This window comes from Homo sapiens, chromosome 3 (genome assembly GCF_000001405.40).
Source record: "Homo sapiens chromosome 3, GRCh38.p14 Primary Assembly".
In the NCBI taxonomy this organism is placed as follows: domain Eukaryota; kingdom Metazoa; phylum Chordata; class Mammalia; order Primates; family Hominidae; genus Homo; species Homo sapiens.
The window spans coordinates 67,396,900-67,421,794 of record NC_000003.12 but is presented as its reverse complement, the minus strand read 5'-3'; the positions used below and the strand labels follow the sequence as shown (position 1 = coordinate 67,421,794).

The 24,895-nt window shown below is 37.8% G+C and overlaps 1 protein-coding gene across 6 annotated transcripts in view; it reads left to right on the top strand.

The window, feature by feature from the left end:
* Nucleotides 1–24,895, top strand: part of SUCLG2 (succinate-CoA ligase GDP-forming subunit beta) — a 294,153-nt gene that overhangs the window by 232,818 nt on the left and 36,440 nt on the right. For 4 of the 6 annotated variants that reach the window (NM_001177599.2, NM_003848.4, XM_017007420.3 and 1 more), the window contains exon 10: nucleotides 20,944–21,064. In NM_001177599.2, the coding sequence (NP_001171070.1) occupies nucleotides 20,944–21,064 (121 nt within the window). Of the gene's footprint in view, nucleotides 1–12,760; nucleotides 12,931–13,195; nucleotides 14,642–20,943; nucleotides 21,065–24,895 lie in introns of those variants that run through there. The other 2 variants (XR_007095763.1, XR_001740350.3) reach the window with 2 other exon arrangements.

Genomic DNA, 24,895 nt, shown 5'->3' with positions numbered 1-24,895 from the left:
CAATTTTTGTCTTCATTCTTCATTTATTAATAAAAGCCAAATTTGACCTAGATATGTAATAGTAGATGACAAAATGTGGAGTTGCTAAGCCCCTTTCTCCCAATGAATACTATTTATCTTTCATTTTTATAGCAGTAAAACATTTATATAAACATACCATAGTGGAATAAAAGCAACAGTCTGGTGCTAGTGATCTTCACTGTGATTGACTTCTATTACTTGCCTATACATTTAGTATGTTTGTGCAGAAATGTTTCTCAAGGATTTTCTAACAGGTGATGTTATTGAGGTCCTGAGAGATGAAGAGATGTGTCCAAGGTCCTGTACCTAAAGCAGGGCAGAGCGAAGACTAGAACCCAGGTCTCCCAACTGACTGCTAGTGAAATGTTATGCATCCCTGCTTCTTTGATTGTTTTTTTGCTGAGAGAGGATTGTTTTGGGAAATATAAAAAGGACTCTGTTAGCGTGTGTCTAGGGTCATGTTATACTGTAATAGCATATGTGGGGTACTCTGGCAGTGGTAGGACAGTGGGTCTTTAAATGGGTCTTTAAAATGGGTCTTTAATGACAGTGGGTCTTTAAATGTGGTAGATGGGGTATCAGGTTGGATAAGAGTTTGGGTAAGCTGCATGGTCAGATGGGCCCAGATTGAAATTCCTGCTCAGACATTAAGCAGCTGTAGGACTATGGGCAAGTTACTAACCTCTGTGATCTCCAGTGTCAACACCTGAACTTCTTGTGAGGATGAAATGACCTGATACTTATGATGTGCTTAGCATTACACCTCACACAGACTAACACCCTTAATAAAAAGTTAACTATTCTTAGATATTACATGTTTATCTGAGTTATGGTTATTGAAAAACCCATATGTGCCTGACAGTAAAACTAGGATTACTGCAAGGGGAAAGGAAAAGATGACAGTCATGTTTCTTACTAACTCTCATTGGAACACACAACAAGCACCTTCTTTAGAATTAAGATAAATACCCACACACACTCACACACATACACAGTATGCATATGGTGTATGTCTTTGTGTGTGTGTATCTATTCCTTTGTTTTTTACTTTATCATGCTGCCTAATGGAGGATTGTTTTTTGAAATATGAAAAGGACTCCTACATGTGTCTGTAAGTCATGTTGTAGGATAGTTGTGGATTGGATAGTCCCCTTGAGATTCTCCTTGCTCTTCAATATCAAATTAACAGAGAAAGAACATAGTTTTACTTTGTGGTGTATGGACTTTTGCAAATCAGTAACAAGAAAATAGTCTATTATTTCCCACACCATCCCACACTCATACTTAATAATACTCATCCTACTACTTTGTTTTTCATTCTTTCCCTTACTTCTCTTGAAGTCAGAGATGAAAATATAATTTGCCAATATACAGCCAAATTTGTTTTTGGAACACATTCTAGATTATTATCTTTCTCACTTACCACCAGTGTGGTATACTGCATTGTTATAAAACAAAATCACAAACAATTTTCAGGTCAGTACATTTTAGTAAAGTCAGTTTATTACGTTGCCTATTTTGTAGATGAGATACCTGACTTGTGACAAATGGTTGGACTTATATTTGATAGTAAGTCACTTCAGACTCAATTCAATTTCATTTTCCTTTTTTCACCCAAGTCCATTTTCCCCATTTTTCTCCTGAATTTAGGATGGCAAGTATGTACTTTATGCTTTGCAGATAAGTTGGTTTCTGTGTAACCATAATAATAAATCAAGCCAACTGGGTGCTGCTGCCCATATCAAAGCCTACAGCTTCCTAGTACATTCCAATTAATTATCTTCATGAAGCAATCAAACCATCCCTGCCTTCCTTGCAGTGTCTTTTCTGTTTCCCTCACCTTTTCTTAAACATCTTAAAGAGAAACATGCCTCTGTGAAATGATTGAATGGTTCAGCAGCTTTTGATTTTCAGCTTCTCATTTAATCATGCAACCTGTCATTCTAAATATTTTTCACCTCACAATTATCCTATTTTCTTTTCCTGCTTGTTTATTGTCCACTCTGTGAATCATGTCAATAACAGTTTTTAAATCATTGTAAATCATAATAGTTTGACACTTATTTGGAGAAGCCTTATTTTTGACAAGGAGGAGGAAATTTCATATCATACTGTCATAAATTGGGGGTCAAATCAACATAGATTTCTCTTCTCATTAACATTTCAGACAGAATGCTCCTAATATAAGACTTTAAGAAAACAGTCACTAAGATTTGAGTTTAAATTGTTTCCTCTGGCCTTACTAGCTAATGAAAGCACATTCATAAAAGACCTTCCCAGATAAAGGACCATAATTTTTTGTTAATATTATGGTTCATGATTTTAGTTACATTTCTCAGAGCCAGAGTCAGACAATTAGACATTCTGATTCACTGTAGTTTGTAAGCCAATTTCTTATGTACCTTCCTAATGAATAGGCAGAACTGTATCTTGTAAGTTCAAAGGAGTAGAAAATCTATATCAGGAGAGACCGAGATAACATCTGACCTGGTGTTCTAAGTGGGGTGTGATAAGCGTATCTCTTCAGAAAATTACAGACATGATTTAGAGTTATTTTAATTTGTTCCTCTCAACAGGCCATCAACAGAAAGTCAGTTTCTTTGTAAATTTAGCTGATGTAAATAGAATGCCAGCATCCTTTCATCACAGGACTGAGTGCTTGGTGATAGAGGACAGAGATGACTGAGCGTGCTTTTGTAATATCAGGAAGCAAGCAACCTGGAAGTACTCTTAAGTGTCATACCATTGTATTCTGATCCTAACATTGTGCAGACCTTTTTTTTTTTTAAATCCATGACTTGGCATAGAGAGCACACAGCTATTTCAAAGGTTTCACTGAATGCATTTCTTATAACATTCACCTGTGTGTCTTTATTCCCGACTAGATAATTCTCTCTCAATACTTTTTTGTTATCCCTGAGTTCCAGGAGAGGTCCAGGCCGTTTGTGATTATCCCATGAAGAACAGTTAAAGGTAGTGGAAGCCCCACCTCTACAGAGGCAGAGATTAACCAGGATGGTATGGGCTCCAGGAACAGAGGTTGGAACAGCAGGCAGGATGGCTCACTGGAAGCAGGGCTCAGGGACTTCAAAGATTCTTCCATCTCCAGGGCTCCTGTTCTCCCATGGCTAGGAAGGGAGGAATCTTGTGGTTAGCTTTTGGCACTAACTATATTTATATCAGAGAAAGGAAAAATTTTGGATTTGTCATAGATTTTGTCAGTGAATACTGGCCCTGTCACTTTAGGATTAGGAAGTTGCCTTACTGTTCACCAGAACAGCTTAGTGTAATGGTTAAAGCTCTTGTCATTAGATAAACCTGTGTTCAAATCCTTGTCTAGCCATTAATTAGCTGCTGATCTTGGCAAACTACTTCAGCTTTCTGAGCCTCAGTTTTCCTGTCTCTAAAAATAATGGTAATAAAATCATAGCTCATAGGAGTTTGGAAAGGGTTGAATTACTTATATGCCAGGTAAATAGTGAGTAGCAATAATTGCTGACTGCTAATAAGTACTTACCACTTGCCACGTACTGGGCTTAGTGCCTTATTTTAATTATCTCATTTAATCCTGGCACCAACCCTGCAAAGGTAGGTACTAATATTATTATCCCCATTTTAAAGATGAAGAAACTGAGGCCCAAAGAAGTTAGCTAATTCACACAGCTAATAAGTGATAGAGCCAGTGCTTTTGTTGCAGAGATCAGAATCAGAACCTACTGCATGGGTAGAATTTTACAGCTCCTCGAAGTCAGGATCATGTATTATTTATCTTTGTATCTTATGTCCTCTTTTTGGCCTCAGGAACCAGAACAGTATTTTGTTGTGTCAGATGAGGTCCCCCAGTATAAAGATTAAAGAATAACTTTCAAACAGCTATAGCCTCAACAATGCAATGGAGGGATGCAATGGGCCACCTTGCAAAGGAGGAAACTTTTGTCTTTGAAAAGGTTCAAGCTGCGGTGGCTGAACCCTCAGGTCCTGCCTAGCTCTAAGATTTTCTGGTTCATTCATCTCCCCGGCATGCCCACATTACATAAGGTGCCTTTCTCTGCTGGAGGAAAAGGGGAAAGAGTACACATCTGTGGGTTATGTGTTAAATCATTCAGCCTTCACTCTTACAAAGTAAAATCTCCTACTCAGGATCCTACCAACTATTATTGTCTACGTTTTACTAAAGAATCAGATTTTCATTTCCACTCCGATTTTTAGTTTTGAGAAACTAGTTCAGTTCCTTGTTAAAAAGTATTGTAGGCATCGTGTCGCACCATTATTAAGAAATGTATTTTACAATATGAATGTAGTGCTAGGTGAATTTATATGAATTATTCCATGTTTGAGAAGGAACCATTTGGTACTTGTTCTGAATACAGTTGTTTAAGGGAAGAAAATTGCAGACATGCAGTTTTGTTCCATCCCATTTCAAAACCCTTGGCCTTGTCTAGGCAGCTAGCAATGATGACTGCCTTGAAAATGAAATTACTGTGGTACTTTCTAGGTACTCCAGATCTTTAATTATTTCCAATATATTGCCAAATGAAACATTTATGAAAAAGCTTACAGTTACACCAAGTATCTTGAAAATTTACACTTACGTTGGTGAAACATCAAACAGTACAGTGTATGGTAGTACTATTTTTTTTTCTCTAGACAAGAATTCTCTTTGCTCTTTTTTTTCATGACTCATCCTTCCTTAACTCATCTTTCTTATCCTCTGAAGCTTTCTTTTCAGAGAATCAAAATAGCTTTCTTCATCTTTTTTTTCTTCACTTCACAAGACCTCCACTTTTGAATGGTAGGAATAAGGTTGGTTTTTCCACAGGAATTGGTTATAAATTCCTTCTCCATGCCGAAGTACACTGGCCTCTAGTGGATACCTGTCTCAGTTGTAGTTCATACTGATCTTGCCTTAATTCACTTATTGTAGCACTAAACCAGATATTTTAATAATTTTCAATAGTCTATATTAAGGAACACAATCAGAACTTTGGAGGGTTTAAAGTAGATTTTATTATGAAATTGATTAAGCTTTATGTGGATAGTCATATACTTAGCAATATATTTAACAAATTTAGATTATCTCCTGCAATTTCTTAAGATGTAATTGTGATGTTAACTCCACAGTACTTTTCATTTAACTCACATTGCACTTGAAGACTTAAGGCATATGTAACAGATCATTATAGAAATCAGCCCAACTTACTCATGTCAGAGAAATAAGATTCTAATAGGATACCAAATTGTCTCATATTCCCTGTACATAGTCCTGATTAAGAAAAAAAAGCTAGCATTTTCCAAAGCAGTATTATTATAGTGGGATTTTTTAAGTATAAAATTTAGGAAAATCATCTGTTAAAAAGTATAAATCTATGTCACTTCTTAGAACTTGCAGTTTAGTATATTTCAGTATGGCAAAGGATTAGTTTCAATTTTCATATGTGGTCATTAAATGGTAAAAGCATATACATTTTATTCAGCAATCTGCCATTAATTTAAATGTGAAAAATATTTTATTGAAAGAGCTACCTAAATTCTTATTCAAAACTCTGCCTATCAGTGAGCCAACAATTCAACCTTGAGTTTATTGATAAGTGACATCTGGTTTTGGTTGTAGGTTGGTTCTGCCTCAGGGTCTCTCATGAGGCTGCAGTCAAGAAGTATGCCAGGTTCACTGTCATCTCAAGACTTGATTGACTGGGGCTAGAGGATCAATCTGCTTCCAAAATGACTCACATGGCAGTTGGTAGGAGGCCTGAGGCCTTGGTTCCTTGCTGGATAGAAGTCTCTTGAGTGTCCGTCCTTATGGCTTGGCAGTTGGCTTGCCCAGAGTGAGTGATCCAAGAGAGAGAACAAATAGGAAGGAGCCCCAATACCCTTCATAACCTGGTCTCAAAAGTCGCACACTGTCATGTGTACCATATTCTGCTCATTAGAATGAATCACTAAGTACAGCCCATGCTCCAGAGGAGGAAGATTAAGCTCTACATCTTGAAGAGAGGAACATTAAGGGATTTGTGGGCATATTTTAAAACTACCATGGAAGGAGATCTTCAAGGGAGGATTTGTCTCATGTTTAAGGAATGTGTTGCATCTGGTGTATATAAAGGACATTTTAGGCTATGCCAAGGATTTCAGCCAAGTTGGCCAGTAAGGTGACTGAAGGTGTTAGAGTAGAAGAGTATAAGGCAAACCATATGACACAGTAGATCTGGAGTCACATGAGGGTTTAGGATTATCAAATGTGTGGCTTAGAGGAGTTACCTAATGCCTCTATACTGTATGCCATCTGTAAAATATGGAAAGCAGTTACCTTCCTTATAGGGTCGTGGTGAGATATCAGTAAGTTAAGATAGATAAAATACTTAGGCAGTGCCTAGCATCTAGTAAGTGATTAAGAAGTGTTAGCTACTTCAGCCTTAGCATGATTGCTGTCATGTGTAAATTCATGTTGTATAACTCTTCAATCCTCGTTTTGTAGCCGGAGAAATCCTTGTGTCCTTCTCCAAACTTGCTTGGTTTCTTTTCTCTCTCTGTGTAGCTTTATTCTGCATTCCAACATTCACACATGTAACAGTTTTCCATTCGAATATTTCATTATATGCAGAAATATTTTCAAATTCTGGCCAAGCATGGTGGCTCACGCTTGTAATCCCAGTACTTTGGGAGACCTAAACAGGAGGATCACTTGAGCCCAGGATTTCGGGACCAGCCTAGGCAACATAGCGAGGCTCCATCTCTACCAAAAACTTTTTTAAAAATTAGCTGGGCATGTGGCAGATGCCTGTAGTCACAGCTTCTCAGGCGGCTGAGGTGGGATCACTTGAGCCTGAGAGGTCAAGTCTGCAATGAGCTGTGATTGCGACATTGCACTCCAGCCTGGGCAACAGAGCCAAGATTGCATCTCATAAAGAAAAAAGAAATAGAAATTTTCAGATTATTTGAGGGAGTGGGAAAATCCAAAAGTTAGAGAGGGTAGTGATAGTATCAGGAAAGATGCACTGGTTTGGAAAGCATCTTCTGGGATGTTGATACATCTACCTAGTTGTGGGAGATACACAGATTAAGCAGTAAGGACAGATGCTGCTCTCAGATACATTTTGTCTAGTAAGCCTAGTGTTTTTAAAAATCCAGAATTTTGGCTTTTGAAAACAGGAAAGATCTGGGCATAAAAGGCCTACATTCGCATGGCAACAATTGGATAGATTGTGTAGCAACTGCCCCATTTGAAAAGGCATGTCCTTGCTGGTATGTCAGAGTATTTTCTGTTGTCTTAATCTAATACCTCTCTACTCATTTACTTACCTGTCTGGCACTGAGTTTGAAACCACCCCTTCCAATTAAAATTAACACTCTGCAAGTCAGTTAGTCAATATAATCTCCCATAAGAAGTACCCCCAACATCAATGTACTCGATACATCTATAAAAACAGTCATTTGGAACTGTAACATGAAACTGGGATGGAATTCCTGTTCTCAAATCTGCCAAGGCAGAGATTACAGTCTTCTCAACTAGGTGGCAAGAACTTCGGAGTCGAGTTAGATGGCATAGTATGAAAGGGAACTCGTGTAGCAGAAATGGGCATTACAGGAAGCATCACCTACTCAAGACAAACAAAAAAATGGGAGATGCCCTCAGCTAGCCTTGAGCAACACAGAAGACCATCCAGGTTTCCGGAGTAAGAACTTTGACATGATATTCAAAGCAATCATGAAAATAAAAAGGTGGCAGGTCAAGACATTTACAAAAATATTTTTTTCAACCCAAGAAGCTTTTTTTTGATAGGACACAAAATAGACATTAAATAAGTTAAAAACTATTTTTTGGATTTAACATATTGGAAAATACATGTTCATGAGATAAACCCACACTGAGAAACATGTGTGATAAGATGGATGAGGTAGGCGTCTGCAAACAGGGACATTTGTCCAGACATTTCAGAGAATAAAGGAGAGTTACAGAGCAGGGAAGACAAAAGGAAGCTCTAGCATATCTGGAAAGCAAATGCTTGTCTACGTTGTGGACTTAGGTACTGTGTGTGTATCTGTCTTTACTGGATGCTGCTCAGTTCCTAGAAAAGCCATGTGGAATTTGAGAGCTTTAGTTTCCTTCCGCATGGTTTTTCTTGGTTGTTAAGCCATCCTATACGTATTCCCTTTGGGTATATTTTTTGGTTGACTGTTAACAGCTCAATGACACAGTTTATTTGCTTAGTAGAACAGAATAATGTGGCTTTTGAGATAAATGTATGGTGACTACTTGCAGCTGGGTCATTGGCATTTTATGGAAGTTAACACTTTTTGTTCAAGGTTGCAGACCTACATTTTTAAATACTAACCATCTTCTCGAGTTTGTCTCCATGTTACCCATGTTCCTTCTTTAGACAGACTGGAAGACCACATGGGGATTCAGTCTTATTGAGCCCATCTTTCATCATGCTGAAAATAAGGATTTCAAGTCACTTTCTTAGTGGGCCTTCCTTAGTTTTGTTTGTGGCTAATAAACTGAATGAAGCCGTTTTAGTGCTGAGAAGCTCGTTTTCACCTGACAAGCCATCATCTGTCATTTGTAATGGACAGGACCCAAGATAATAAAGCCTTTAGCTTGTTTTCCTTTTTCTGCCTTTAACTGGGGTGTAGATCCAGACAGCTAATGAGCAACAATTTCAGATTCTTAGGTATTAGCCATGTCCCAAAAAGAGCCAAGGAAAGAAATGTTTGTGATAATACTCATTTAATGGCTTGTGCTGAGAATGTGCAGCTTTATTTGACTTTTATTTTATTGTGTAACCCATGACCGTGGTTATCTTGTGGAGAGGGGGTAACTGAACAAAATGTTAACCTTCCAGTTCTAGAAGGTTGAATGGATTTTCCCAAGAGCAAGCTGGGTTGGTCAAAATGGCACATTATCAGTTAGTCTTAAAAGGAAACAATGGCACACTCATCTCACAGTATATGGAGGAAAGTTTATTTTTAAAAATATTGATAATGACAATATATGTGGGGTTAAAGGAACCTGGGGCTGGCAGCGTGGGATCGCTTCTGTCCCAATGCTGAGAGAGAGAGAAGGAGGTGACTACTTGACCAGAAGAGAATATCCTGTAATGAAGACTTTTTTGAGATGCTCTGATACCTTCTGTGGAGGAAACAGCCACCCAAGACAATCGTGCTGGGAGGGACGGGGGAATAAATGCCCCCAATTCCCTCTCCTCCTGCCAGGGCTCCCCAGACATCAGATCCAAAAGGAACCCATTAATCCGTTCTCTCTAGTCAGCCTCCCAGGGCCAAGAGGAGGTTGCAAAAGAGTGGAGAGGATCTGGAGAGGCCCCTGACAATTCTGCAGCACAGCTAGGTCCCAAATCACGATGTTTTCATAGTCTGTTTAACATGTGCCTCAGAGAATATGATATTCTGGAATCCTTTTGCAAAAGGAGTCTAATAGCTGGAGAACTCTACTAGGTCCATGAAAGGTTAACCATGGATGAGAGAAGGTGTGGCCAATCAATGATTTAGACACTTTGAGGTAGAAAGCATTTTGTTCAATTCCTTACTTAGCAGGCTGTAGGGAGTGCTCTGCCAATGTAGTTTCTAATTTTCTCCAGTCATGGTATACTGACATTTGCTGAACAGCTAAATAAATAGATCTCTGTTCCACACAACAGATAACAGCAAGGTCAGACAGTGATATTAGTAATTTTAGAATATTGTCTACAGCTGAGAATGTTTTTTTGGTGACAGTGACACTTAATACTGCTGGTCAGTGTAGAATGAATTCTACAAGATTCCATTCCTCCTGATATTAAATATTACCAGGCACCAGCCCTGCCCAGGGATTTCAGAGGAGCCCTAATTCAAATGGGGTGTTGATTTTTATAACACATGTTTGAATGTGTAACTTTCTTGCATTATTGTTTATTTGGTTTTCCTCTTAATTTACCTGAATTTAAGTTTGAGATGCTAATGAATTTTTTCAGCAGTGACTGAAAATTCTGAAATTTCAGAATTTAAGATTCTGAGTGTCAGGTTTGGCATTAGAGTCATTTTACTGGAATGAACAAAAGGTGGGGATTTGGGGAAATGAAATGGAAACTTGTTTTTGTAAAGAAATTTGGCAGTAAATTGCCTTTCACAAATATACTAGTGAGATTTGTAATGAATAAAACATGTATGTGTTTTAAAAATGCTTTTACTTAAAATAATTTTAATATAAATTTTAGTCTATAAGAAATAGCTTATAGATCACTGAAATCATAGCTGGAATCTTATGTTTTTACTCTTTCCAGCCAGATATTTATCCACTAGGGTTTTGATATGAATCTTTGTCAACCCCTTATTTTTCCAGAAAACTAAATGATCAAATAGGTTTATTTGAACAGATGCCTAAAACCTCACAGGATCATTATATTCCACCATCGTTTTACATTAGATTTGTTATTTACAGAAACAGTGGGTTTTGCCATTAACTAAATTTGTCTTCATTTCTCTGTGGTGTGAAGTGTGAATCTGTGTGGTCTTAAGTTTTGGCTCTCTCTGCTTAGCTATTTTTTTTTCTAATTGATGTTAATCACAAATAAAGGAGAAGAAACCACTCATAGAAATATATTTTTTCCTCTTGCTTGTAGGGACAGTAACCCTGTGGAGACTGATATGTTGCAACAATAGATGGGTAGACATCCTGTTTATAGATTAATAAATGGATCCTTCACCAAGTTGCCAATTTTATGGGTGTTCTCTATATTAACTCTCCAACAAATGATGATGGAGTATACGTATTTACATGCATCAAGATGACATAAGTCTGAGATGATTGAACAAAATATGGCTCAGAAAGAATGTGCCAATAAATATTCTCAATCTGCACCAATGTAGCTCCCATTACAAATAAAATATAGATACTGCATTATAAGCAATGAGTATCCTGCTTTGAAAGCAATTATCTGTTAAGCTGGAAAGACAGTTTTGTAACCAAATATTTCTGAAGAGTCAATTCTAATAGCTGATTTGTTAAGAGAGAATTATATGACTCTTTTTTTAAGCCTTTTGATGCCCCTTTATGAAATAGTATGACCAAAATCTCTTTGCTCTATTTTTTTTTAGCTTTGAATATCTCTGTGGCCAAATTATACATTATGGTAGTTTTTGCATGATTTATTTTAAACACACAGCACTCAAAAAAGAACGTTGCATTTGCCATTCTAAATGTCCAAATGGTTTTTGTAATCATGGCAGTGGTTCTGATTCTCAGTTCAAAAGGATACGGGAACTATGGCTGTAAAAAAATAGAAACTGTGCTTGTGCTATTCCCCCAAATCTCTGTGCCCTTCAGTCCTTTTAACTCCTTGTCTCCTTTTCCTATTTATAATGCCATTCAATATTTCCATCTTCAGATTTTTCTTCTCCTGAAAATCCTGTTAATACCTGACTTAACCACTACTACCCTGTCTGCTGACAACTACAGAAGCATTTATATGCCACCCTTGGCCTGGCCAGGGCCTTTGTAGTTGCTGTTCTTGCTTGTGAAAGCCTTCTACTTTTGTAGATACTATAACTTTGACCTAAATAATGAAATGATTAGCATCTTTGTAAAGAAGGACCATAGATCTCTGTGCCACCTAACCACAAACATACCAGCTCCTGAACACCTTTTCTGACAGCTCTCTGCAGATCAAATTTCCAACCCATTGACTCTTTTGCAGAAAATAACTAAATTAAGGTGTTATAATTTAGAACACAGATGGTCTGCTAAAGTTCACATTAAGGTAGAATCCAAATTATTTGACCAGAAGATTTTTTCAAGGAGCATTACTTAGGTCTAATACTTCGTACAATATACTTTGGAGAACTTTGATTTAAGGAAACAGATCCTTGTTTTGGGAGGAAGTATGGCTTTATAATTTATATGGTGCAGTATTCACATTAGTTTTTAACCTGTTAAGCTATACCAGTATTCCTAATGGAAGATGTCTTCATTCTATTTAGAGCTGGAAGTCTATATTTAAATTTTTTGCTTTACATATACCTAATCATACATAATTAATATATTCTTGGTGGTTATGCAGGATGTGAACTGGATTTCTTTACTGCCTGATATTTTCTTTGTAAAAGTTATTAAAGGAGGGGCAATGTTGACAGACTAAACCTTTAGTTGTAATTATGTGTAATTATGTGTAAATATGTGTCATGTAACTCCAAAGTTAGGGAAACAAATGTATTATACACTTGCATTGACTCTTTCCTCCACTTCCATGGCAGACATTGTTAACAGTTCAAAGATCTCTGCCATGGAACTAACTAGAATGTGCCCCCATCATCATTCTTCAAGCAGCCACTTACAGAGTTACCATGCCTACCAGTGGCCATTCCACTGCCTGATATCTAAAATCTGTATTGATGATGATGTCTCACCATTAGAATTTTTATGGCCATAATTTCAAAGAATAATAGTGGCAATGGTATACATTTCAGTGTTTCAGACATGGAGAGGAGGAGCTATCAGTCTGCAGAGAGAGTTCTTGTTAGGAACATCTGTTTCAGCTCAGGACAGAGTTTAGTGTTTGAAGGCCAGGCCCCACTCTTGTACCTTCATGACCCCTCCCCAGCCCCATCTAACTAGGAAATGCCAAAACCATGAGCTCTGGACAACTCTTTTATCAGTAAACAGGAAATATCTGTATTGTAAAGAACTAAAACCCATTGGTCCACAAACCTATACAAGATATCTTACCTCTGATTGATTTTAATTCAGCAGCAAAATTTGAAAGCAAGAAATACTTGGGCACCAGAATACAGGACTCAGAAGCACGTTCTTGAAGCTTGGAAATAGGACCAATATGGAGCTGGAACTCCTGACTCATCTTGGGAGTCTCTGATTATAGAGAGACTGCCAGAGGGAGTGGAACGAACATGGACTTTACAGTAAGACCGCCTTAATTTAAATCTTGACACCATTGCCTACTGCTGTGTGATGTTTAAGCTCATTGAGTTTATTTACCAGGGAAAGTTATAATACATAATTTTAGCACCTAGGAAAATTAACACTCAATAAACCTTAATCCTCCATACAGTTTTGCTTATTCTACCAAGGAGTAAATTATAGAATATAAGTAAAGTGAAGAATTTAGGAAGAAGAGAATAGACAGAATAAGGACAGATTGGAGTCTAATTAGACCCATTTCCCTAGGTTCCCCTGACTGCTTTCAGAGGTCAACCTGAATGGAAACTTGACTCTCCATCAAGTTACTGTCCCCAGAGGATCTCTCCATAAGATGTCGTTTCCATGCTATCAGTTCAGAGAAGTTGGAATAAAATGGTTGGTTCATCTCAATTGATGAATTTAAAATGCCCAAATCTTGTTTTGTATTAAGGGTGTTGTATAAGACATTTCCTTTTGATTCTGAGATTTTCAGGCAGGATCGTGGACTCACTAAAATTATTTCTTTTTTCCTTGGAAGAAATTAAAAGGGCAGAGTGGGAGGGTATCTTTCGAGGAATGCTGTTTTTCACATGTCAGTTTTAGCTATTTTGGAGGTACATGAGTTGCTTTATTCCAAGGATCCTGGCATTTGAAGTCACACAAAAGAAAATAATTTCAAACTCCAAGAATATACCAAAGGTAGAAAAGTGAGCCTGAGCAGCTTGCCATAATTTCAGCAGAAGGCAAATCTGGTCCCAATCGAACCAATCTGTTGGTTTATTTGTATTATTACAACAAAGCCCAAGATTGAATTCCTCACCTGAATCACTTCCTTATTGACTGAATCTATTTAGACTCCCCTCTAATTTAGCAGAGTATTTTTTATTAAATCCAGGCATACAAACATCAATTATCCAAGCTGCATCTCATTTCCTTCACCATTTATTTTCCTTCGTTGGCTGCCAGTGGATTAGAAGACATGATTAGAATTCATCAGGAAAATAAAAACAACAAAAAAGAAAAACAGTTTCACAAAAACAGATGCTTAAACAAGAGCAACAACATTCAGAATTAAAATAACCTGTGATTTTTTTAAAAAAGTCCTTATCTTGGCTAATATAAACATGCTTGCTTGATTTTTATCAACCTCATGCCTGCTACAGTGGGACTAAATTAGCATTCGTGATTGGAATAGGCACAGACAAAACCTAATAGTTGCACTTACTGTGCTTCACGTATATGCTACAGTGTTTTTAAATACAATGCAGTACTTAACTATTTGCAATAACCTTTGCAAAGTAGCTGGCTTACTCTGAAAGTTTTCTATTTTTTCACTTCCAACCAATGTCAGGGAGGAAAAAAGAACAAAACAGAGACTTTCCTTCTATGAACTTGTTAAAGGTAACAGGTTTTGTTTTAAAGGAATGTTATTAAAGTTGGACTCCTTTATGTAATTGGCCACCACTACTGCCTGGGTACCTTTGTGTTATCAGTGATGGCAAGAAAATAACACAACAAAGAAAGACAACGTAATGTCTGAAAAGTGTTATCAAAGATATATCAAGTGACATGAAGAAGGAGGGGTGATGGTATACTTGCCATGAATTTGAGGGGAAATGAACCAAATCACATCTGTGTCAGGTTAGCAAACTATGACCTGTGGGCCAAATCTGGCTCACCGCTTGTTGTTGTAAATAAAGTTTTATTGGAATACACCATGCTTATTTACTTATATATTGTTTGTCTATGATTGCTTTCATGCTGCAACAAGGGTAAGTAGTTGTGACAGAGACGGGCTCAAAAAACCTAAAATATATACTGATAGAGCTCTTAAAAGCAAGATGTTGTCGATCCCTGGTGAATGTCAGTGGCTCCTTTATCATTATCCAGCTATTCCTAACTGCCCTGCATGTGCTGTGGTGAAACAGTGTTGGTTTGAACTGTAACTGCTTAATAGCTAGGAAACCCTAAATTTTCTGAGACTCAGTTTATCTATAAAATGAAGGTTAAAAATACATTTATAAGCTTATTGTAAATTCATTGTAGATGCTCAATAAATGTTAATTTCCTTCCTGACCTTACTGTAGTCTGTGTAGGTGTCTCAAAACCAAAGGCTTCTCAAACTCTTTGTCATGGCGTTTGCTCTGTGAGACTCTGCATGATTTGCGAGGGGGCCCATCTTGTTTCCATCACTCTACTTCTCAGGCCCCAGGGACCTGATACTCCAGATTCTGTTCAGTTTCTCAAATGCACCACACTCTTTTCTGTTCCTCCACCTGTATACATGGTATTCTGTTGTCTTAAGATACTTTTCTCCCTCTCTTAATCTTGATCTACCTGCCCTCTTCCCAACTGCCCTTCAGACTCTAGCTTAAATGTCTCTGCCTATGAGAGGCCCTCCCTCACCACCTGGTGTAATATAGGTCCTGTCCTGCTACTCACATAGGACCTAGCATTTTCCTCCCCTTCATAACTATTATCGTGGTTTGCAGTTTTAGATATATAGAACCTTTTTGTCTAATTTTAAAATCTTTCTTGCTGGCTTAGCTACTGCCTACAAGCACAGGGCACATAGTAGGCCGTGAAGAATATATATTAAATTAATAACTTTTTATTGAGCAGTCTTGCAATATTTTTATTTCATTAAGGGGACTCAGGATCATGTTGAATAAAAAGAGCTGAATTTTTTAGACTGACAGCAAACAGGCTGCCTAATTTGGCACAATTTGTTTCTACCTCTGAGTCTTGGTTTTCTCATCTGCGAAAGGGGGGTAGGTAATATCTGTCTCACAAGTATATGGCAGAGTTGGTTGTGGTAATGAACACAAAGAGACTAAGCCATCACTCATTGTAGGGCTTCTCTAGGTTTGCTGGCTTGGAAGGATATTTGACAGTAGATAAAGCTGTAACCCCTGATTCTCCCAGATCTTCACCTCAATTTGGGGATGATTATACCCACCTCCTGTGATACTCATGTGTTAAATGCGTTAGTACATATACAATAATTAGAATACTGAGTACAACCTGCTAAATGCTTTAGTAACGTTAATTATGGTTGTATTTGTGATAGCTATTCATATATCAACTCTAGAGGATTATGTACACTTTGCCCAGAAAAATACACATTCAGACAAAAATTCTGTGGACAGCTGCGAAGAATTCACTATTCCTCTGAAACTCATAGCCCTCTCCTGAATACATATGGTGTGCACTAACACTTGCCATTATCTGAAACTCATAGCCCTATCCTGAATGCATATGCTGTAGGTTACCACTTGCCATTGGAGGTCTTGGAGGCCATATCCTGTAGGAGCAGGGTAGCCATGGGACTTAACTACTATTATCCCCCAAAAATGTTGTGTTTGTGAATTCACCTGACTGAGGAATCCCTAATATTCATCAGATATTCAAAAGGATCCATGTTCCAAAGAAGAGGTTTAGTATTGATTTTTGTTGGTTTGTTTATTTGAGCAGTGGGGATGATGTCAAAAGAAGCTTGATAAATAGCAAGGGCTGTAGCTGTTCTTTTTTCAAAGTTTAGTTTTTACTTTTAATTGTGTACTAAAATCTGCAGCTAGAGTGTGTTTTGCAAAGCAAAACACCCAGACATTTGAAAAACTTGTGTATGGACTGCCTGACCACCTGCACAGCTGCCAGAGCAAACTTGCCTTGGGATCAGCTGTCTGGGGTCTGGGGACCCGGGCCCTGTATCTGGCACTTCAACTGCCTCATTAGATGATCTTTACTTTTGTAAAACAGTAAATAGCAACCCTCATAATTCTCACCCGAGAATTAGAAAAAGCCTCTGTTCCCAAAAGCACTTGGGATCTTCCGGGAGAGTCTCTGGTTACTTAAATAGACCTAACACTGAATTCTTAAAAAAAAAAAAAAAAAAAAATTCTCTTTGCCAGGGGGCTGGGGGAAGATAATTAAAAGTTGCTGTTGGTATCATCATGGAACAGCAGTTAGTGGTTGTAAAATGAATGAACACGTGAGGCACATATTGAAAATTTGACATGCTTTATAAATGCTAAATAATAATAATGATGTCACGAGGCTTTCATTTTTAAACTGTCTTAATTGCATTCCCAGTTTGAGATTGCAGATTACAGTAGTTAATTATAGAAGTTGGCCCAGAGTTAAACCTTAAATCAGATTTCCATTAAAGTGCATGACTGCAGCAAATTACTTTACAGTGGGAGAGAAGGCGAGAATGGCATAATCTCTGGTTGAGTGGGATCTTCTCACCACCCAGGGTGGTGACTTTCCTCTTAGGGTGCTGTGGTGTATCGTGTGTCCTAAACAATCCCATTTCCCTGAGCTAAGCAGCCTGCGTACTTCTATGTCCTGTTGCTCTTCTTGTAGAAATCTCAATTGCTTTGTTAGTATTTGTCATACTCTTTCTGTTCCTGTCTTCCTCATGACTTCTCACTCTCCTTTTTGCACTTTCTCTCTCTCTTATTCTTTTGTGTTCTCTCATGCCTTCTCTTTACTGCTTCTTGTTCACTCATTCTCTCTCTCTCTCTCTCTCCCATGCTCTCTCATGGTTGTTCTGTATTTCTCATTGTCTCTCATGCACTCACTCTCCTCTCTGTCCTTCTGTTCCCCTCCTATAACTTCTCTTCGGCGTTTCAGGGAGCCTGCTTTCAAGACTTGCGTCTACCCAGTTCTGAAGAAGGAAGAGGCCAGGCACGGTGGCTCACACCTGTAATCCCAACACTTTGGGAGGCCAAGGCAGGAGGATCAGTAGAGGTCAGGAGTTCGAGACAGCTGGCCAACATGGCAAAATCGCCTCTCTACTAATACTGCAAAAACTAGTCAGGTGTGGTGGCAGCTGCCTGTAGTCCCAGCTACTCAGGAGGCTGAGGTATGAGAACCACTTGAACCCAGGAGGCGGAGGTTGCAGTGAGTCAAGATTGTGCCACTGCACTCCAGCCTGGGTGAAACAGTCAAAACGTGTCTCAAAAAATAAATAAATAAACTAAAAAGGAAGAAATAAGAGGATCCAAATTCCCATCCCTGGCATCTGGCACCTGACAATCTTGGCCTCACCTGTATCATCTTAACTTACTTCACCATTCAACCATTAGTTCCTCAGCGAACTAAGTTGGGTGACATATCTGCCTTTATCCTGGCTGCTCCCTTTATCTCAGATCCTGCTCTTTTTTTCTTCCTGTCTACTAGAACCTCACCTATTCCAAAAATCCTCTGTCATGTCAGCAGCCTGCATCACCGCCTCTCCCCTGGTCTTGGCTGTGTGAGACATCTGTAGACCCTGTATTTGTAATTGTCAGTTTATTGGTCTGGCTCTCAAACTAGTCTTTGAATTCTTCCCTGAGGACAGTGATGATACTTCATCCTTCTCCATATCCCAAAACTTAATTCTGTACCTGGTACAAGGGAGATGTTGATCAAGTGTCTGTTGAAATTAATTCATTCATTGTTAAACCATTATTTTTACGTGATTATGCCATATCATGGATTGTGCTGGCTACTGATTATTAAAAAAATGGGAAAATACATAATCTTTGTTTTAGAGAAGCACAAAGATGATCCAAACACGGGAGTTGCATCTTGGGATGGGGAGAGGAAGGTAAGAGGAGAATAAAGTACATTGGAGAACAACAGCTATTCATTTCTCAGTAAGTCTAACAAAACCAGTTATCCCTCTGCAGTTAGAAAAGAAGGCTTTTCCTGGGGTTCAGCACCAACTAAAGTAGTTAAATTTTAACCGCAAGTGGTTATATGAAGAGTATCTATTTTTAACATCGGACTCTAATTAAACACGAGATACTAACACATGAGAGACTCATGGGAACTGATGCCACCTGAGGCAACACTGATTCCTGTTTGACACTTACTCCAGGCACTCACCCACTAAGTAGAATTGAATCACAGGGTCTCAAGCCCCTTCTCTCCTTTTTGCTCCTATCCCTCACTCCTGCCTGTTTAGGTGAATTCACATAAGATTATGATGTAAACTATACTCTGTAAAATGATCGTAAAGCTTTAGATGGGTTAAACAGAGTCAGTGATTCTAATTTAATGAGAATTCCCTGAGAAGTTGACATCCGAACTTGTCCTTAAGGAATATGCAGACTGGAACATGGCAGAGGCATGCAGGTGCCAATGTGTGTTTTACTAGAATGCCAAGTTCCTCTGCACAAACCTTACTGAGCCTCAGCAGGTCCTGAGTTTCTATCATGGACCCCATGGAGTCATTCTTGCTCTTGAATGTTTTTCTTCTATTGTTCTGGCAAGTTCCTCTCCATCCTACAGTTATTTGGAAACTACTGCTGTACCAAGCCTCAATGCTAACAGCATTTAATAGCTGTCATTAGAAAGCAAGCTTCTGCTTACCAGTTGTCCTACTGTGAATAGTAATGGGAGATTTCTTTTCTGGGAGTAGCCCCAATCTCTAATTGGTTTGAAAAATATTGTTCATTTCTTTGATTCTTAAGGCATTACCTTTTTGTTGAATTTCAATAAGTTTGTATTTCCATTATATTTGAATTCAACATGAGCTGCAGTCTACTGAAAAAGGTTTTCTTACTTGCCCACTTTCATCAATGCTTGCTGAATAAATGCAAGTGTAAATACCCATTAAGTACATTTAAAGCCATGTGGTAAACATTTCACATGTATTACCTCATTTAGGCCTTTCAACATCCTGTGGGCTAGGTCCTCTTTTTATTCCCATAATACAGATGAGGAAATGTTCAAGAGAGGTTCTGTAACTCGACCAAGGTCCCAGCCCTAGCAACAACATCAATGAACAAATCAGTAGACAATCTAGGGAGCTGGCTTTGGGCCTGGCCACAGCCACATGACAGCTGTGTGACCTTGGGACAACATGCCCCAATGCGCCCGATGGCTTTCTCAGCTAGAGAGCCAACCTTCACCCTACCTAATAAATAGGGTTCTGGGAAGGCTCACAATAAAAAATAAGGATTTGTGTGATGGCACTTTCTAAACATTTAAATGCTATACAAATGTAAGATATTCTCTTCTCATATGTTTGGTGTAGGTAATTTAACAGACAGAAATAATAGGATTCTATGCAGCACATATATATATGCTTTACAATTAGTGTGGCATAATTTAATTGTGACTCTACTGTTGGAATTTTGATGCCTCCAGCTTCATGAACAGCCATTTTTCTGTGGGTGTTATCAATTAATCTAGGTAATGAATTCTCTTCATTATCTCGTTCTTCATGTTAATTATACAGGATTTTCTTATGCCTAGTTATCAAGTCAGGACAAGTAGAGTTTGTTTTTTTTTTTTTTTTGGCCCACATGCCTTTGAATATGGAATATGTACAAACAAGTTAACATGATGGGTGATGGGTTTAAATTTACATTTCTAAGAAGCTCCAGTCAGTAGCTTGACTTTCCTTACATTCTTACTTATGCTATAAGCTTGGATCTCTTTATTTCGAGAGTCTTTTTTTAATCAAAAGGTTGCTGTCTAAGATAATTAAACTATCTCTGATTTTTGAGAACATACCTCTAGCATATCAAAGAGGTATTAAGGAAGCATGAAAACATTTGAATCTTTTTTACCTTTTAATACAAAACAATAAATGGTTTCTGATTTTGAAATATTGTGTGAGGCACCATGACATATAAAAAGGCAATTGTAAATCGTGGAGGAAAAAAACCTAAATGCAAGAAATTTTAAATGATACTACTCATAAAAAGAATAGACAATAATATTTTCAGAAAAAGAAGACATTATATAATAGACGAATGAATGATGATTAAATTCATTTTGAGTTGAAAAGAGTGATTGATGGGAAAATTTGGTAATGTTATATTGTGATATTTATTAATTTATTACTAATATGAGCTTTCTTAACATGTTCTGGGCCATTTTTGTATTTTATGCTCTGTATAAAACAAAAACAAAAAAACGAGCAGTCTTATTTTAATTGTCTCTATTATTTAACCAGTTATTTTTGAGACTGTTGGCGATCAGCATTTTGATTGGTAACTTTTTATTTTTGATTTCAGGTTGAAGCCATCCTTGTCAATATATTTGGTGGTATCGTCAACTGTGCCATCATTGCCAATGGGATCACCAAAGCCTGCCGGGAGCTAGAACTCAAGGTGCCCCTGGTGGTCCGGCTTGAAGGTGAGTCATGGTAGATTTCCGCTGTGCCAGCACCCCTTCTCCAAGGTCAGGTGACCAGCATGTTCTGGATTCACAAACTTCCTGAGATAACAGAACGAAACACTAGATTGTGTAAGATGAAACAAACACAGTACGGCAGGACTTCCCTGGGCCTCTAGCAAACTAATGTGGCTTTTAGCTCTCCAAGTATGGCAGGTGTTATGATTCTCCAGATTTTGAAAAATTACCCCAGAGCAAAAGCCCTTTTATTTATGAATCATTTTATGAGATTAGTGTTTGGGGAAAAACACTCTGAGAAATGTTTCTCTGAGAATCATGCATCATAACTGAGGATCCCAAAAAGCTTTGGTTTTTTGGCTTATATTTGTCAATGTTTATTAATTGATTTAATTGATAAATTAATTTGATAACTGAAATTACTTGGAATTTAAAAAATAACTCTTAAAAAATAATTTGTATATTTTATGGTATATTTTATATATCATATGTATTATATATTTTATAGCAATAAATATTTTAAAAAATTTTTAGTAAGAATAATGACATTGTTTTACAGGTTTGTAAATAACTTTTCACATTTAGCATGTCTGTTTCTGCATAAAATGTTATAACATGTTTTAGTTGAAGTATATGAAGAAAATCTGGCCTCACAGACATATGTGTTTTTCAAAATGGGAGTAGTTTTGTCCGTTTGTTTGTTTGTTAGTTTGTTTGTTTTGAGACAGGGTTTGTTTGTTGCCCAGGCTGGTCTTGAACTCCTGGCTTCAAGTGATCCTCCTGCCTCAGCCTCCCAAAATGTTGGGATTATAGGCTTAAGCTACCACACCTAGCCAGGGGGAGTTTTTAATGCTCTTTTCATATAGTTCTGAATATTCTTTGGTACTACACTAAAAGTCTATTGGTAATAGTTTATTGAAAATTAGTTTCCATGTGGAATCTGGAACTATCTCGATGAACTTTTCATATTCCATTAAAACCCATTGGTCTGTGTTACACATTAAGGGAGTTTTATCCATGCATGGTTCAAAATCATTCACTGATGATCCAGAAAATTTGTGATTATGCAGATCTTCCAAAGGTTGTCTCATTTCAATGTACAATATAAAAAAAATCACATTTGTTAATATTACCACCATCATATTAGAAAAGCTTTTTAGTAGGAAGCTGTCAAGTTCACAGGGCAGGTGCACATTGTCTAGAATTTGAATTTGACTTTATAGTGCAAATTTTATCAGCCACAAAATGGTTAAGTTGTTTTCCTTGATGGGACAGACTCACTTCACTCATATTTAAGAAAATGTCTGCCAGCTAACCAAGTCTGAGCAACTATAGTGTGTCAGTCTTTATTCCAAGAAAGAAACAGCATTTCATGGAAAAGTGAGCAGTTTAGCTTGATACCCAGACAGTTGCACGAACACTTTTCCTCAGAACAGTTCAAGATGCTGCAGAAGTGCTTTATGTGTGTTTATAATTTGGTCACAAAGAGTATCAAACAGATGTGTAATCAAGGGTTGAGGTTTAATGAAATAATTTTTTTTCTTTTTTTTTATTTTATTATTATTATACTTTAAGTTTTAGGGTACATGTGCACAATGTGCAGGTTAGTTACCTATGTATACATGTGCCATGCTGGTGTGCTGCACCGATTAACTCGTCATTTAGCATTAGGTATATCTCCTAATGCTATCCTTCCCCCCTCCCCCCACCCCACAACAGTCCCCAGAGTGTGATGTTCCCCTTCCTGTGTCCATGTGTTCTGATTGTTCAATTCCCACCTATGAGTGACAACATGTGGTGTTTGGTTTTTTGTCCTTGCGATAGTTTACTGAGAATGACGATTTCCAGTTTCATCCATGTCCCTACAAAGGACATGAACTCATCATTTTTTATGACTGCATAGTATTCCATGGTGTATATGAGCCACATTTTCTTAATCCAGTCTATCATCGTTGGACATTTGGGTTGGTTCCAAGGCTTTGCTATCATGAATAGTGCTGCAATAAACATATGTGTGCATGTGTCCTTATAGCAGCATGATTTATAGTCCTTTGGGTATATACCCAGTAATGGGATTGCTGGGTCAAATGGTATTTCTAGTTCTAGATCCCTGAGGAATCGCCATACTGACTTCCACAATGGTTGAACTAGTTTACAGTCCCACCAACAGTGTAAAAGTGTTCCTATTTCTCCACATCCTCTCCAGCACCTGTTGTTTCCTGACTTTTTAATGATTGCCATTCTCACTGGTGTGAGATGGTATCTCATTGTGGTTTTGATTTGCATTTCTCTGATGGCCAGTGATGATGAGCATTTTTTCATGTGTCTTTTGGCTTCATAAATGTCTTCTTTTGAGAAGTGTCTGTTCATGTCCTTTACCCACTTTTTGATGGGGTTGTTTGTTTTTTTCTTGTAAATTTGTTTGAGTTCATTGTAGATTCTGGATATTAGCCCTTTGTCAGATGAGTAGGTTGCGAAAATTTTCTCCCATTTTGTAGATTGCCTGTTCACTCTGATGGTAGTTTCTTTTGCTGCGCAGAAGCTCTTTAGTTTAATTAGATCCCATTTGTCAATTTTGGCTTTTGTTGCCATTGCTTTTGGTGTTTTACACATGAAGTCCTTGTCCATGCCTATGTCCTGAATGGTAATGCCGAGGTTTTCTTCTAGGGTTTTTATGGTTTTAGTTCTAACATTTAAGTCTTTAATCCATCTTGAATTAATTTTTGTATAAGGTGTAAGGAAGGGATCCAGTTTTAGCTTTCTACATATGGCTAGCCAGTTTTCCCAGCACCATTTATTAAATAGGGAATCCTTTCCCCATTGCTTCTTTTTGTCAGGTTAGTCAAAGATCAGATAGTTGTAGATATGCGGTGTTATTTCTGAGGGCTCTGTTCTGTTGCATTGATCTATATCTCTGTTTTGGTACCAGTACCATGCTGTTTTGGTTACTGTAGCCTTGTAGTATAGTTTCAACTGAGGTAGCGTGATGCCTCCAGCTTTGTTCTTTTTACTTAGGGTTAACTTGGCAATGCTGGCTCTTTTTTGGTTCCATATGAACTTTAAAGTAGTTTTTTCCAATTCTGTGAAGAAAGTCATTGGTAGCTTGATGGGGATGGCATTGAATCTATAAATTACCTTGGGCAGTATGGCCATTTTCACGATATTGATTCTTCCTATCCATGAGCATGGAATGTTCTTCCATTTGTTTATATCATCTTTTATTTCATTGAGCAGTGGTTTGTAGTTCTCCTTGAAGAGGTCCTTCACGCCCTTTGTAAGTTGGATTCCTAGGTATTTTATTCTCTTTGAAGCAATTGTGAATGGGAGTTCACTCATGATTTGGCTCTCTGTCTGTTATTGGTGTATAAGAATGCTTGTGATTTTTGTACATTGATTTTGTATCCTGAGACTTTGCTGAAGTTGCTTATCAGCTTAAGGAGATTTTGGGCTGAGACGATGGGGTTTTCTAGATATACAGTCATGTCATCTGCAAACAAGGACAGTTGGGCTTCCTCTTTTCCTAATTGAATACCCTTCATTTCCTTCTCCTGCCTAATTGCCCTGGCCAGAACTTCCAACACTATGTTGAATAGGAGTGGTGAGAGAGGGCATCCCTGTCTTGTGCCAGTTTTCAAAGGGAATGCTTCCAGTTTTTGCCCATTCAGTATGATATTGGCTGTGGGTTTGTCATAGATAGCTCTTATTATTTTGAGATACGTCCCATCAATACCTAATTTATTGAGAGTTTTTAGCATGAAGGGTTGTTGAATTTTGTCAAAGGCCTTTTCTGCATCTATTGAGATAATCATGTGGTTTTTGTCTTTGGTTCTGTTT